The following is a 13,196-nucleotide window of genomic DNA, read 5'->3' as shown; positions in this document are numbered from 1 at the left end:
CTCTGCAGATTGGGTACAGTGTACACTACTCGGGTGACGAATGCAGTAACATCTCAGAATTCACCACTATATATTTCATCCCTGTAACAAAAAACTACTTGTACCCCAAAAGCTATTGAAATAAAAAATTTTTAAAAGAATATCTTTGAAAATAAATAAATAAAATAAGTAATTCTTTGTAGAAATAAGTTACCATTATCTTTGCAAGAGAGAATATCTGCTTGCTTTATGCAGGCACCTGGGAGTGCTAAATTCGCAGGTGACATGAGGCTGATCTAGAGACTACGTGGTTAATTTTTGGTTACCTTTACTCTGAAGATTTGTCTCTTTGTGATCCCAGTTTGAGGTGGGAGGTGGTTTGCAAACTCTCCTCCTTTGGTGGGTCCCAGATTCCAACTTTTGTTCCTCAGTCCCACAAAACCACCCAACGTGTAGCTCAGCCTCCTTTGGCCTCTTCTGCATCAGCAAATGTCCAAGAACAAAAGCAATGCTTTCAGTTTCTCACACCTATCTAGGTTTTGGGTCTTTCTCAGATCTTAGCTCAGTAATTGTTAACTTTATGATATTCTTTAATGGTATATATATATATATATATATATATATATATATATATATATATATGCTTTTGTTTTTAAGACAGAGTCTTGCTCTGTCGCCCAGGCTGGAGTGCAGTTTCGTGGTCTCGGCTCACTGCAACCTCCATCTCCCAGGTTCAAGCAATTCCCTGCTTCAGCCTCCCGAGTAGCTGGGACTATAGGCACCTGCCACCACGCCTGGCTAATTTTTGTATTTTTAGTAGAGACCAGGTTTCACCATCTTGGCCAGGCTGGTCTTGAACTCCTGACCTCGTGATCCACCCGCCTCGGCCTCCCAAAGTGCTGGGACTACAGGCGTGAGCCACCGCGCCCGGCCTAATGCTATAATATTTAAAAAACATTGCATCCAGCTTTTTAAAAAGTTGTCTTTCAGAAGATGTTCACCAGTCCACAATTACAGTCTGTGGAACTCCACATTGCCGTGACTGTATTGGCTGTTGACAGAAATACCTGCTCTGTAGCTGCCGTGGTCCAGCTTGCACCTGGGAACAGACAGCTTTGCAGCATCTCCTCTCACTTCTCCCATCGCTGGGAAGCCTCCCTTGCCTGCGGTTCTTCCCTGCTCAGGTTAATGTAGCTTAGGCAGGACAGGAAATGGAAAACCAGTCTTAGGTGTGACAGTAGGAAAGTGTTTCTTCCCTCCCTCCCATCTCCTTCCATGGAGAACAGAGGTCAGGCAAATGAATGGAGAGGACTGACCAGAAATTAAACTGAAGGGGATTACTGAGTATCTGTTGGCTATTCAATTACAGTCCATGAACAAACTTGTGTACCTGTTGAGTACTGTGTGCTAAAAGGAAATCCCAAAAGGTGGGTGCATCCCTCCAGGTCCAATATGAAGAGAAATACCATGCAGTAATTTGAACAGGGAAAGTTTAATGTAAAGAATTATTGGTTGGGTGTGGTGTCTCATGCCTGTAATCCCAACATTTTGGGAGGCCGAGGTGGGAGGATCACTTGAGCCCAGGAGTTTGAGACCAGCCTGGGCAACATCGGGAGACCCCACCTCAACAAAAAAAATTAAAATTAGCTGGGCATGGTGGCGCACGCCTGTAGTCCCAGCTACTCGGGAGGCTGATGTGGGAGGATCGTTTGAACCCGGGAGATCCAGGCTGCAGTGAACCATGATTGAGTCACTGTACTCCAGCCTGGATGACAGAGCCAGACCCTGTCTCAGAAAAAAAAAAAGAAAAATATATTAAATATAAAAGAGGACTGGAGTAATGAGAGATTAGCTAATAAGAAAACTCTAAAATATTCTTTACAAATTACAGGTATAAGAAACAGGCCCTACCCTTAGGGTTGAGACACAGTGTCTAAGACTCACTGAATGGCTGCACTGGTGGACTTTGCTGTAAATCTGTTCTCTGGAATTTGCTGGAAACCCAACCTTGCAACTTCACGAACTTGCTGCAAATATGCCCTCTTTAAAGTACTGGAAATCTGCCCTCTCCTGCAGGAGAAAGCTACACTTTGCATCAATGTCCTCAGAGAGCACAGGTCAACCAGGAGGCAAAAAAACTCTTTCCTCCTACATTCTCCTTTTAGCACCTTCTACTGCCAAAGGCTTAAATTGTGTCACTGGCAAAGGGAAAAATATTTAAAGGGCCCACATCCATTTTCACAGAGTCGGCAAAAGTGGGTGAAGTTGGAGGTGAGAGGTAACACATTGGTAACCAGCACAGTGTATCCATTTCAGCCCTCAGTTTCTCTATGCATCCTCCTACACATATGTACACTCTGGAACGATAGCAAAACAAGTCTGTGTTTCTACCTAACAATATACACCTTTGCTTCTCACAAGTAAAGAAATTCTTACCCTTCCCCCAAATGAGGAGACACACAGTCACAAGAGTCATTGTGTAACTGACACAGTGAAGAAATGGATCCCAAATTCCAGGCACTGGGTGCTTTCTATTTTATAACATTTAATTCTTAGAATCTTGTGAGGGAGGTGGTGTTCAAATATAAATAAGACATGGTGCTGTCCTCCAGGAACTTAGGAGAGAGGCATGTTGACGAGGATTTATAATGTCAGGCAAAGTAATTTAAATACTAATAGGGACGTGAAGATTACCTGCTGTGGGATCCTTCTTACCAGGGGGCTATAGGAAAGTGTCTTGATGGAGGTATTATTCGAACAGATGTAGTACCGAGAGAGGTTTTGAAAGATGTGAAGACAATAGTAAAGACATGGAATCAATCTAGGTGCCCATCAATGGTGGACTGAATAAAGAAAATGTGGTACATATACACCATGGAATACTATGCAGCCATAACAAAGAACAAAACCATGTCCTTTGCAGCAGCATGTACACAGCTGGAGGCCTTTCTCATAAGTGAATTAACACAGAAACAGAAAACCACATACCGAATCTTCTCACTTGTAAGCAGGAGCTTAAAGATCCGGTACACAGGGACACAAAGATGGAAACAATACACTGCAGACTACTAGAGGGGGCAGGAAGGAGGGGAGGGGTTGCTAGGTATTTATTAGGGGCACATTTTCAAAGTTGGCTTGTTTTCGGATTTGTTCCCAAAGCCGGTATCGGATATGAGGAAGCAACCTGGAAAACACTAGAGGGTCTGAACGAGGAGGAAGAGAAACACGTAGGGTGTTGGGAACAGAGGCGGAAGTTGGGAGATCCTGCGAAATCGGAGTCCCTTTGGAGTGGGGGAGGCCATCGAGGTGTGCGAGGGCCCGGCCCCCTTGCCGCGTGGTCGTTAAGAGGAAAGGCCCTGATTTGGCTGGTGGCGGATCGCCTCCCTCCCGGCTCTCCCCGAGTGCGGCAAAGGAAGGGCTGCCTTTGAGAGTCCCGCAGGAAGATTTAGAAAGTCTCTTACATTGGACTTTTTTTTTATGATGTGCGTTTTGGGACGAGCAGAATTACACTGTTGGCTTCCAGTTCATTATCTCTATCTCTATCTCTACTTCTGTATCTATATCTACATATATTCACACACACATATATAGTACAAATATATATATACATACATATGTATATTTTTGTAAAAGGGACTCTTTAAGAAAGTAGGTCAAAAGTGGGGGAGAGGGCGAGGCCCTTTGACCCCCAGGAGTCACGCACGCATGCCAAGCGCTACTGCGCAGCCGCGGAGACGTGGTCCAGGCTCCTGCCCGGGCCTCATTGTGCCTCGGACAACGAGTGTACGCAGTTACCACACAGTTACCAAGCAGTTACCTCAGAGCCGCGGCGCAGACGTAGGCCTCAGGTCTCGGGCCTCAGGTCTCGGGCCTCAGAGCCAGACCCCGCCATCTCACGATGTCAGAGAGGACCCAGGAACAGGGTAAAGTGACCTCGCCTCAACTGGCCCGCTAGCTTGGGCCTCAAGTTCTGTCAAGAGTCTGGATGGCACCCACTTAGGTGGCCATTCAGGGGCGGCAGGATTGGCTAGTCATTGACCGGGGCGTGTCGGGGGGCGGCCTCTGGGTATTGGCCATCTGCCGCCGATTGCTCAGCGCGCCGGTGGGAAATTTGGCGTGGTGGACCGAGATGGCCCAGGGTTCAGGTCGTCTCAGGGGCTCAAGATGTCCCGGAGACGTGAGGTGATCCTGAGGCTCATGGCGTCTCCGTGGCTCTTGGTGGCTCAGGGTTGGGGTGACTTGGGCTTGTGCCGAGAGTGCGTCAAGAGGCTGGGCCTGGTTGCCCTCTGGCCCGCGGTTCTTTCCGGAGCCTCGAGTGGCTGGGAAACAATCTCGGCGCTCGCGACGCCGGGCTCCGGCGATACAGATCTATGCGGCCGCACTTTTTCTTGAATTTATTGGTTTTCCCTGGTGGGCAGCCGCGGAACACAGCCCTGTTCAGCGTTTTGGCATAGCGGCTGGGGCACAGCCTCAAATTCCGGGTGTTCTGAGGGGGTGCTTTGGGTGGTACCCGCCGCCTCTCCCGGGGTGCCCGCGTGGGTTACATTTTGAGATTTCGAAGCTTATTAGATACTTGATGCTGACTTTCTGGGACGAGCTTATCCTTTTTCAGCTGTTCTCTTTTTGGTGAGGCGGGGTATGGGGGGGCGAGGAATGAGGAATGACTCAGACTTTCACAGAGGTTTTTTGTTGTTGTTTTTTGTTTTTGTTTTTGCTTGGTTTTGTTTTGTTTTGTTTTGTTTTCAGACAGAGTCTTGCTCTGGTGCCCAGGTGGGAGTGCAGGGGCGCCATGTCGGCTCACTGCAGCCTCCGCTTCCTGGATTCAAGCGGTCCTCTCACCTCAGCCTCCTGAGGAGCGGAGACTACAGGCGTGCACCACCACGCCCGGCTAATTTTTGTATTTTTTGTTGAGACGGGATTTCGTCATGTTGCCCACACTGGTCTCGAACTCCTGGGCTCAGGCAATGCTCCCGCCTCAGTCTCCCAAAGTGCTAGGATTACTGGCGTGAACCACCCCACTGGGTGAGAGCTTTGAGTCTAAAGAATTGACAAATTCCCGAGTTGATTTCCTGTCAGACATTTTGCGGTTGAGACATAGAGTCTGAGGCTTTGATGGTAACCGAGTTTGATTTAGAGACAGACTGTGCAGCTTCGCTGTTTTATTGTAAATACGTAAATGAGGAGGAAGAGAAACACGTAGGGTGTTGGGAACAGAGGCGGAAGTTGGGAGATCCTGCGAAATCGGAGTCCCTTTGGAGTGGGGGAGGCCGTCGAGGCGTGCGAGGGCCCGGCCCCCTTGCCGCGTGGTCGTTAAGAGGAAAGGCCCTGATTTGGCTGGTGGCGGATCGCGTCCCTCCCGGCTCTCCCCGAGTGCGGCAAACTGGCTTCAGGTTGACTAAAAGCGATTTTTCCAGCAGCTTTGCTGCGCCTTGCTTTCTAAAGCGAGGCGTGGGCTGGGTGCCTTTTTGAGCCTCACTTGTCCGGCCTGTGGCAAGTGCTGGGCGATGGGATACGGTTCTGGCGGCAAAGGAAGGGCTGCCTTTGAGAGTCCCGCAGGAAGGTTTAGAAAGTGGTTGTTCTTAAAACAAACGGAGCGGTCTGGCTGTTGTAATTGGCCCCGTTTTGCTGTGTGTTCCTCAAAGTGGTCCCGGCGTGAAAAGCCGTTTTCAGAACTCATTGTGAGCTGTGCCTCATCTGATGAGTTGATGGCAATTGAAAGCCTTGCGCCTTGGTAGTATAATGTTCAAACAATTTCTTGTTTTTGTTTGTTTGTTTTGTTTTGTTTTTTTGAGGCAGAGTCTCTCTCTGTCGCCCAGGCTGGAGTGCAATGGCGCAATCTCGGCTCACTGCAACCTCCACCTCCCAGGTTCAAGCGATTCTCCGGCCTCAGCCTCCCGAGTAGCTGGGACTACAGGCGCACGCCACCTCGCCCCGCTGATTTCTGTATTGGTAGAGACAGGGTTTCACTGTGTTGGCCAGGCTGGTCTCGAACTCCTGACCCCAAGTGATCCGCCCGCCTCGGCGTCCCAAAGTGCGGGGATTACGAGTGAGAGCCACCACGCCCGGCCATCTTCAAACAATTTCTAAGTGTTAAAATGTCTTTTAAAATTTAATTGGGAAAGTTATGTGTACACCTAAAAGAACTGATTGGACTTTTACATATTTACTGAGAAACCTTAGCGGTGTTGTCAATAGCTTTACTAGCTCTAGTTTGAAAGATCTGTTGATATACAAAAGCTTGTCTTAAAAATACACTTTCAGTTGCCTTGGTTATTTTCTTCTGATGACAGAATCTAAAGTTCCTTGTACAGAATCGACAGAAAAGTCTAATGATAATAAATTTGCTATTCAGTAATAGCCACCTAGATAACCATTGGTATGTTACCTTTGGCTCTCAAAGTTAGGATTATACTGTATTTTTCTGTTTTGAATCCTTTTCTCCCCTTTAACTTTATTTAACTTTATTTCACAAGCATATCTAGTATTAGTACATTTTCTTTGGGAACATGCTTCTTCTTCTTCTTGTTCTTTCTTTCTTTTTTGTTTGAGACAGGGTCTCGTTTTGTCGCCCAGGCTGGAGTGCAGTGGCGGGATCCTGGCTCACTGCAACCTCAGCCTCCCGGGTGCAAGCCATCCTACCTCAGCCTCCCAAGTAGCTGGGACTACAGGCACATGCCACCACTCCCGGCTAATTTTTCTATTATTATTATTATTATTATTATTATTTTTTGGTAGAGACAGGATTTCGCCATGTTGCCCAGGTTGGTCTCGAACTTCTGAGCTCAAGCGATCTGCCCCACTTGGCCTCCCAAAGTTCTGGGATTACAGGCGTTCGCTACCGCGCCCTGCCTGAGAACACACTTCTTATTGGCAATATACCATTCCAGCTCAGGGAAATACCAAAATTTATTTAAGCTTTTGTTTATTTAATACTTTGGTTTAGATAATTAGGTGGTTTCTAATGTTCTATTTTTTTTCCATGAAGACTATTAAGTAGACTTCAGAGTGACTCTTAAAAAAACCCCACTTTTTACGGGTGAGAAAACAGAGGCAAAAGAGTCAATTTATCTGGCCCAACGGTCATACCTCTGGATAATTACAGAGCCTGAATTGGAACCTTCATTCTGTGATTCCTAATTTAGTACCATTTTCAAATCATCACATGCCCCTCACACTAGCTAATTATTTTATTCTCCTGCATTAGTCTATTTGAAATAAATAGAATAAATCCAAGTTATGATGTAGTTTAAATGTGGTCTGTGAGTGAATACTTCAAGCTTAAATGTGTTCTTTTTCAGGCCAGCTTTAAGAAATAAAGCTTATTTTGATCTTGGACATTTTGCATAATGTGTTTTCATATTCATTAAAATGGTTTACCTAGTTGATATTTCACATCTGGTATATTTGTCATTACCTATTTCACATTTTGTGAGATTCAGTTTTAATTCATTTCATAACAACATTTACTTTTGCACTTTATTTCTGCATTATCAGTCATCATAGACATTAATATTAGTTTTTAGAGAACAAATTTAGAACTTCATGGTCACCACAAGTATGTCTACTTAACACCAGTTGCATCGTTTAAGTTAAAAGCATATCATTGAACACTGTGGCATGGGCCAGCTGGCCACATTTCTTAAATGAGAAGAAATTTATTGCTCTACGAAATTGGAAGTACTAGAGATAGTAGTCTATGTGTGTATATGCATACATACATATATACATACTTCAAAACTTCCTACTATTGGTTCATTAACTAACTTGTAATGATTACAGATATAAAAATATGTAATACAAATTTTCAGCTAAAATATGTTTTTTAAACAATCTATAACTTTATAAGGTAGCTTCCTCAAGAAACTGTTTATTTAATGTGATATTGAATCTAATCTTCCTCTTTGCTTATTCTTAGATTTTGTTATTATAACTGTCGACGACAGTGATGATAACAATGATTGCAGTATTGAGATGGTGGAAGTTTCTGAAACAGCAGATAATTCCACTAATGACATAGCAGATGATTCCACTTATGTCACAGCAGATAATCCCACTGATGACACAGCCACACAACCAAATTTTCCAGGCGGCAATGATGGCCATCACCGTCCACTCCAAATGTCATATGGTAATTTTGTTAAATTTCATCCTTGGCAAAATTTTACTCTCTGGTCCCCATTTCCAGTAAATTGCTTAAATATTCCTGTAACCTTTACAGTAATTAGTTATGACCAGAGGGCTTAGCTTCATGGTAATACCACAATGTTTACTTCTGCTTGCATTTTCCCTTCACTTAAGCTTTGCCATGTCTCCTTTGTTCTGTGTGAGACAGTCCCAGGAAGCATTGGGGAGAATATATTCTCTGTCTTTGAACAATTATTTATATCTGGCAACTATAATTGTAACAATTTGGTGGCAATGCAAAAGTAAAAAGCTAAAACTGAACTTCTAGGAATAACAGCTTGAGTCAAGAGTCCATGGAGCAGGTGGCATGATTATCTATGTAGAAAGTCTCAAAGAAGCAACAAAAATCTCCTGGAAGTCATAAGTGATTATAGCAAGGTTGCAGGAAACAGGTTAATATACAAAAGTTAATCACTTTACTACATGCCAACAGTAAACAATTGGAATTTGAAATTTACATTAGCATCCAAGACCCCATGGAAAGTGGAGTCCTGCAACCAGAACTGCTATAGCCACTGGTCCTTTGAATGGCTCTCTAGGAAATGTGAGACCATCCACATCCTCACTTGTACAGAGAGCCATGAGACGTTAACTCCTTGGAATATTTCTTCCTTAGCTGTATGACAATTTGTTCTTTGCCCTTTGCTTAGAGAATTGGATTTTCTTCTCTTTAAAACATGGAAATGTTATTGCCTATGTTGGAGACTGGCAAATTTTTTCTGTAAGGGGCCAGATAATAAATATTTTAGGCTTTGCAGGCCATAAGTTCTCTGCTTTAAGTATTTAACTCTGCCTTTATAGCATGAAAGCAGCTGATATGTAAACAGATGGTTGTGGCTGTGTTTCAATAAAACTTTATGGTCATTGAAATTTGAATTTCCTATAATTTTTCCATTTCATGAAATATTCTCCCCCCCATCATTTACAAATGTAAAAAAAGTCCATAATATCTTAGCTTATGAGCTATACAAGAACAGGTGGCAAAGTGGATTTGGTCCACAGGTGGTGGTTTGCTGATCCCTGATCTGATACCAAAAAAGTCATTTGATACCACTTATCTGTTTTGGTTTTAAAACTATATGCAGGGCTAGCAGGATACTTCTTTAGTGTGTTATAGAACATCTGATATCATAGAGACAGAAAGTAGAATAGAGGTTACCAGGGACTGAGGTGAGGGGGAGTTATTGTGTAATGGGTACAGAGTGTATGTTGGGGATGATAGAAATATTTTGGGTATAGATAGTGAGGATAGTTATACAACTACCTGAATATATTTAATGCCACTGAATTGTATACTTACAAATGATTAAAATGATAAATGTTTGCCTTTCAATGTATACACATCATTATATCAAAATAGTGAAAAATTAGAAGCCATATAAATGTCCCACAGTGGAAAACAGATAACAGAACCTCTGGACATCCATAAAATGGAATATTATGCAGGCATTTAAAAATATTTTTAAAATTATAAATGACACACAAAATTGCTTAAAAATATATGAGTAAGATAAATAAATGTATTTAAAGGTTACAATATTTATTGCTGATGGATTGCTTTCTCTTTTTATTTAGATTCTGAATTATTTGTAATGAGCTGAATTTTTTAGGTGAATTTTTTTTTCTTTCTTTTTTTTTTTTTTTTTTTTTTTTTGAGACAGAGTCTCTCTCTGTCGCCCAGGTTGGAGTGCAGTGGTGTGATCTCGGCTCACTGCAATCTCTGCCTCCCGGGCTCAAGTGACTCTCCTGCCTCAGCTTCCTGAGTAGCTGCCACCACCACGCCTGGCTAATTTTTGTATTTTTAATAGAGAGAGGAGTTCACATTGTTGGCCAGGCTGGTCTTGAACTCCTGGCCTCAAGTGATCCGCCCGCCTCAGCCCCCCAAAGTGCTGGGATTACAGGCATGAGCCACCACGCCCGGCCATAGGTGAACTTTTTATGGAAGTCTATGACATACAAAATATGCACACATCATAAATATACAGCTTAAATAAATTTCAAAGTAATACATGCATATAACCAGCACCCATCCCAAGAAATATAAGGTTATGAGCTCCCTAGAATCCTATCCACCCCCTTTCAGTCACTACTCTTCTTTGTAAGGTAACCACTATCCTGACTTCTCCCACCATAGATTACTTTTTTCTGTTTTTGAGTTTTATACCAATTGAATCATATGCTATACTCTCTTTTATATCTGGCATTTTTTTCAGAGACAGGGTCCCACTGTGTTGCCCATGCTGTACTTGAACTCCGGGGCTCAATTGATCCTCCTGGCTCAGCTCCTGTGTAGCTGGAACTATAGGCACGTGCCACCACACCTGGCTTGTGTCTGGCTTTTTTTACTTCTTGCTATGTGCTGCAATAGTTGGTTTATTCTCACTGCTGTATAGTTCCTTTGTTTGAATACATCAGAATGTAATTACTTATAGCTTGCATTATAGTCAGAAAAAAAAAACAGCTTAAAAAATAGAATTTGGTTGAATTTACAGCTCAGTTTGGAGGTATCTTATTGTATCTTTTATTTTCTTCTTCTTATTATTTTTGAGTCAGGGTCTGGCTCTGTCACCCAGGCTGGAGTGCAGTGGCATGATCACAGCTCACTGCAGCCTCAACCTCTTGGACTCAAGCAATTCTTCCACCTCAGCCTTCCCAGTAGCTGGGATGACAGGCGCACGCCACCATGCCCAGGTATTTATTTTTATTTTTATTTTTAGTAGAGATGATATCTTGCTATGTTGCCCAGGCTGGTCTCCAACTCTTGAGCTCAAGTGATCCTCCTGCCTCAGCCTCCTAAAATGTTGAGATTACAGGTGTGAGCCACCGGGTCTAGCCTGGAGGGATTTTATAACTTGATATTTCTATATAACATTAGTCTGCATTTATCTAACTTGAGAGTTAGTTCTCCCATTTTCTTTATCCCCTTTTGATTTCTCTCTTTTGGGTCCTTGGTCATTAGGATCTCCACTATAGAATGAAAGGAAACAGGAAAGAGATGAAACTTGAATCCCTTAATTGTGCCTCTCATTACTGCCCTGGCTCAGGAAGGTTTAAGTGAAGTAGCTCTTTCATTAAAGTGTCACTCCCAGTAACTGTGATGCAGGCTTTTAAAGCAAATCTCTAGTACAAGATACAATCCAATACTGTTGCAGCCAATGTCTTCTTCTAGTTCCGTAGTTAGGTGACTCAGAGCCATAACCAGATCTTCCTAATTCTAGATTGTTTGGCTTACATTTCACATCCATTTATTTAGGATTAATATAAAATTTAATAAGGCAATCCTAACTTGAAAGCTGAAATGGACCTTAGAGATCATCTCAACTGATGTTAACCTGGCAGATGAGGAGGTGGTGTCTCTAGTGGTCTGCCCAGCTCACATAGCAGTGGGGGTCCGATCTAGAATAGATTCCTGGCTTACATTTTGGACACAATGCCATCTCCTTAGTCAAGGGCCTTTTGGGGGCTCCTTTACAAAAGCAGTTAGCCCTTGCGTTCTCTTGTTCATTTGTTTCCAGCATTTACTATGTAGGCTTTAAGTTATTAAGCAGTCACTTCACAGTTTGTAATTGTGTTTGATTTGATTCTTATTCCTAGTCATAAGTAATATAGCCCTTCAGTTTTAAAATAGTTACTCTAAATTGGTCATGGAAGAATTCTTGTTTTGTCACTCTAAAATTCAACCCAAAGTCCAATTCAATTTGAGTTAGCATTCTGAGAGCATATCCGTATTAAGGTTATTAAGAGAGTAGTGTATGAAATAACTTTTTAATGCATTGCTTCACAGTAGCCCATGGTGACCAAATAGTTTCACAGATAAACCACCCAGTACATTTAAGAAGATACAGTTACAACTCAGAGGAAGTGGATTTTCCAAAAAGAGGAAGATTCTATACTCCAGAGGTAGATATTATGGTTTGTTTATTAAAGTGAAAATCTCTCTTTGTTCTTTTCATTCTGCTGTATTTCTTTTTAAAAAATGGAGTTGAATTTCATGCAGTAAAATGCACAAATCAGTGAGTTTTGATAAATGTGTATACTTACACCCCATGAAGATAATGAACATTTTGGCTGGGCGCAGTGGCTCATGCCTGTAATCCCAGCACTTTGGGAGGCCAAGGCGGGTAGATCACCTGAGGTCAGGAGTTTGAGACCAGCCTGGCCAACGTGGTGAAACCCCATCTCTTCTAAAAATAAAAAAAAAAATTAGCTTGGCGTGGTGGTGCATGCCTGCAATCCTAGCTACTCGGGAGGCTGAGGCAGGAGAATCGCTTGAACCCCGGAGGCGGAGGTTGCAGTGAGCCGAGATTGCGCCACTGCACTCCAGCCTGGGTGACAGAACAATACTCTGTCTCAAAAAAAAAAAAAAAAAAAAGACAGTAATAAACATTTTCATCACCCTAGAAAGTGGCCTGGGACCTCTTCCCAGTAAGTCCCCATCTCCCTTAACTTTGGGGGAAATATATTTTGATTTTTTTTTCCATCCTAGATGAGTTTTGCCTGTTCTAGAACTTCACATAAATAGAACTGTACAGTATGTACTGTTTTGGGTCATAGTCTTTTTTCCTGAGAAGAATGTTTTGGAGATTTGTTTCATAGTATTAATATTTCATTCCTGTTCATTGCTGAGTGGTATTCTGTCATATGAATACTCATAATTTGCTTACCCATTTTTTTTTTTTTCTGAGATGGAGTCTTGCTCTGTCATCCAGGCTGGAGTGCAATGGCACGATCTCGGCTCACCGCAACCTCCACCTCCCGGGTTCAAGCGATTCTCCTACCTCAGCCTCCTGAGTAGTTGGAATTACAGGAGCCCGCCACCACATTCGGCTAATTTTTGGATTTTTAGTAGAGACAGTGTTTCACCATGTTGGCCAGGATGATGTCAAACTCCTGACCTCAGGTGATCTGCCTGCCTCGGCTTCCCAAAGTCCTGGGATTACAGGCGTGAGCCACCGCATCCGGCCTGTCCATTCTTTTGATGGACATTTGGGTTGTTTGCAGTTTTGGGCTATTAGGAGTAAAGTGACTATGAA

At 43.0% G+C, this 13,196-nt stretch overlaps 1 protein-coding gene across 5 annotated transcripts in view; it reads left to right on the top strand.

The window, feature by feature from the left end:
- Window positions 3,742–13,196, top strand: part of BEND2 (BEN domain containing 2) — a 57,956-nt gene continuing 48,501 nt past the window's right edge. For all 5 annotated transcript variants that reach the window (XM_017029266.2, NM_153346.5, XM_011545447.2 and 2 more), the window contains exons 1-4: window positions 3,742–3,902; window positions 7,895–8,107; window positions 10,717–10,854; window positions 11,948–12,063. In XM_017029266.2, the coding sequence (XP_016884755.1) occupies window positions 3,878–3,902; window positions 7,895–8,107; window positions 10,717–10,854; window positions 11,948–12,063 (492 nt within the window). In that variant the 5' untranslated portion in view covers window positions 3,742–3,877. The remainder of the gene's footprint in view (window positions 3,903–7,894; window positions 8,108–10,716; window positions 10,855–11,947; window positions 12,064–13,196) is intronic.

The sequence above is a fragment of the Homo sapiens genome, chromosome X (assembly GCF_000001405.40).
Source record: "Homo sapiens chromosome X, GRCh38.p14 Primary Assembly".
Taxonomy (NCBI): Eukaryota; Metazoa; Chordata; class Mammalia; order Primates; family Hominidae; genus Homo; species Homo sapiens.
Note: the sequence above shows the minus strand (reverse complement) of the source record. Positions and strands in the feature narration are given on the sequence as shown.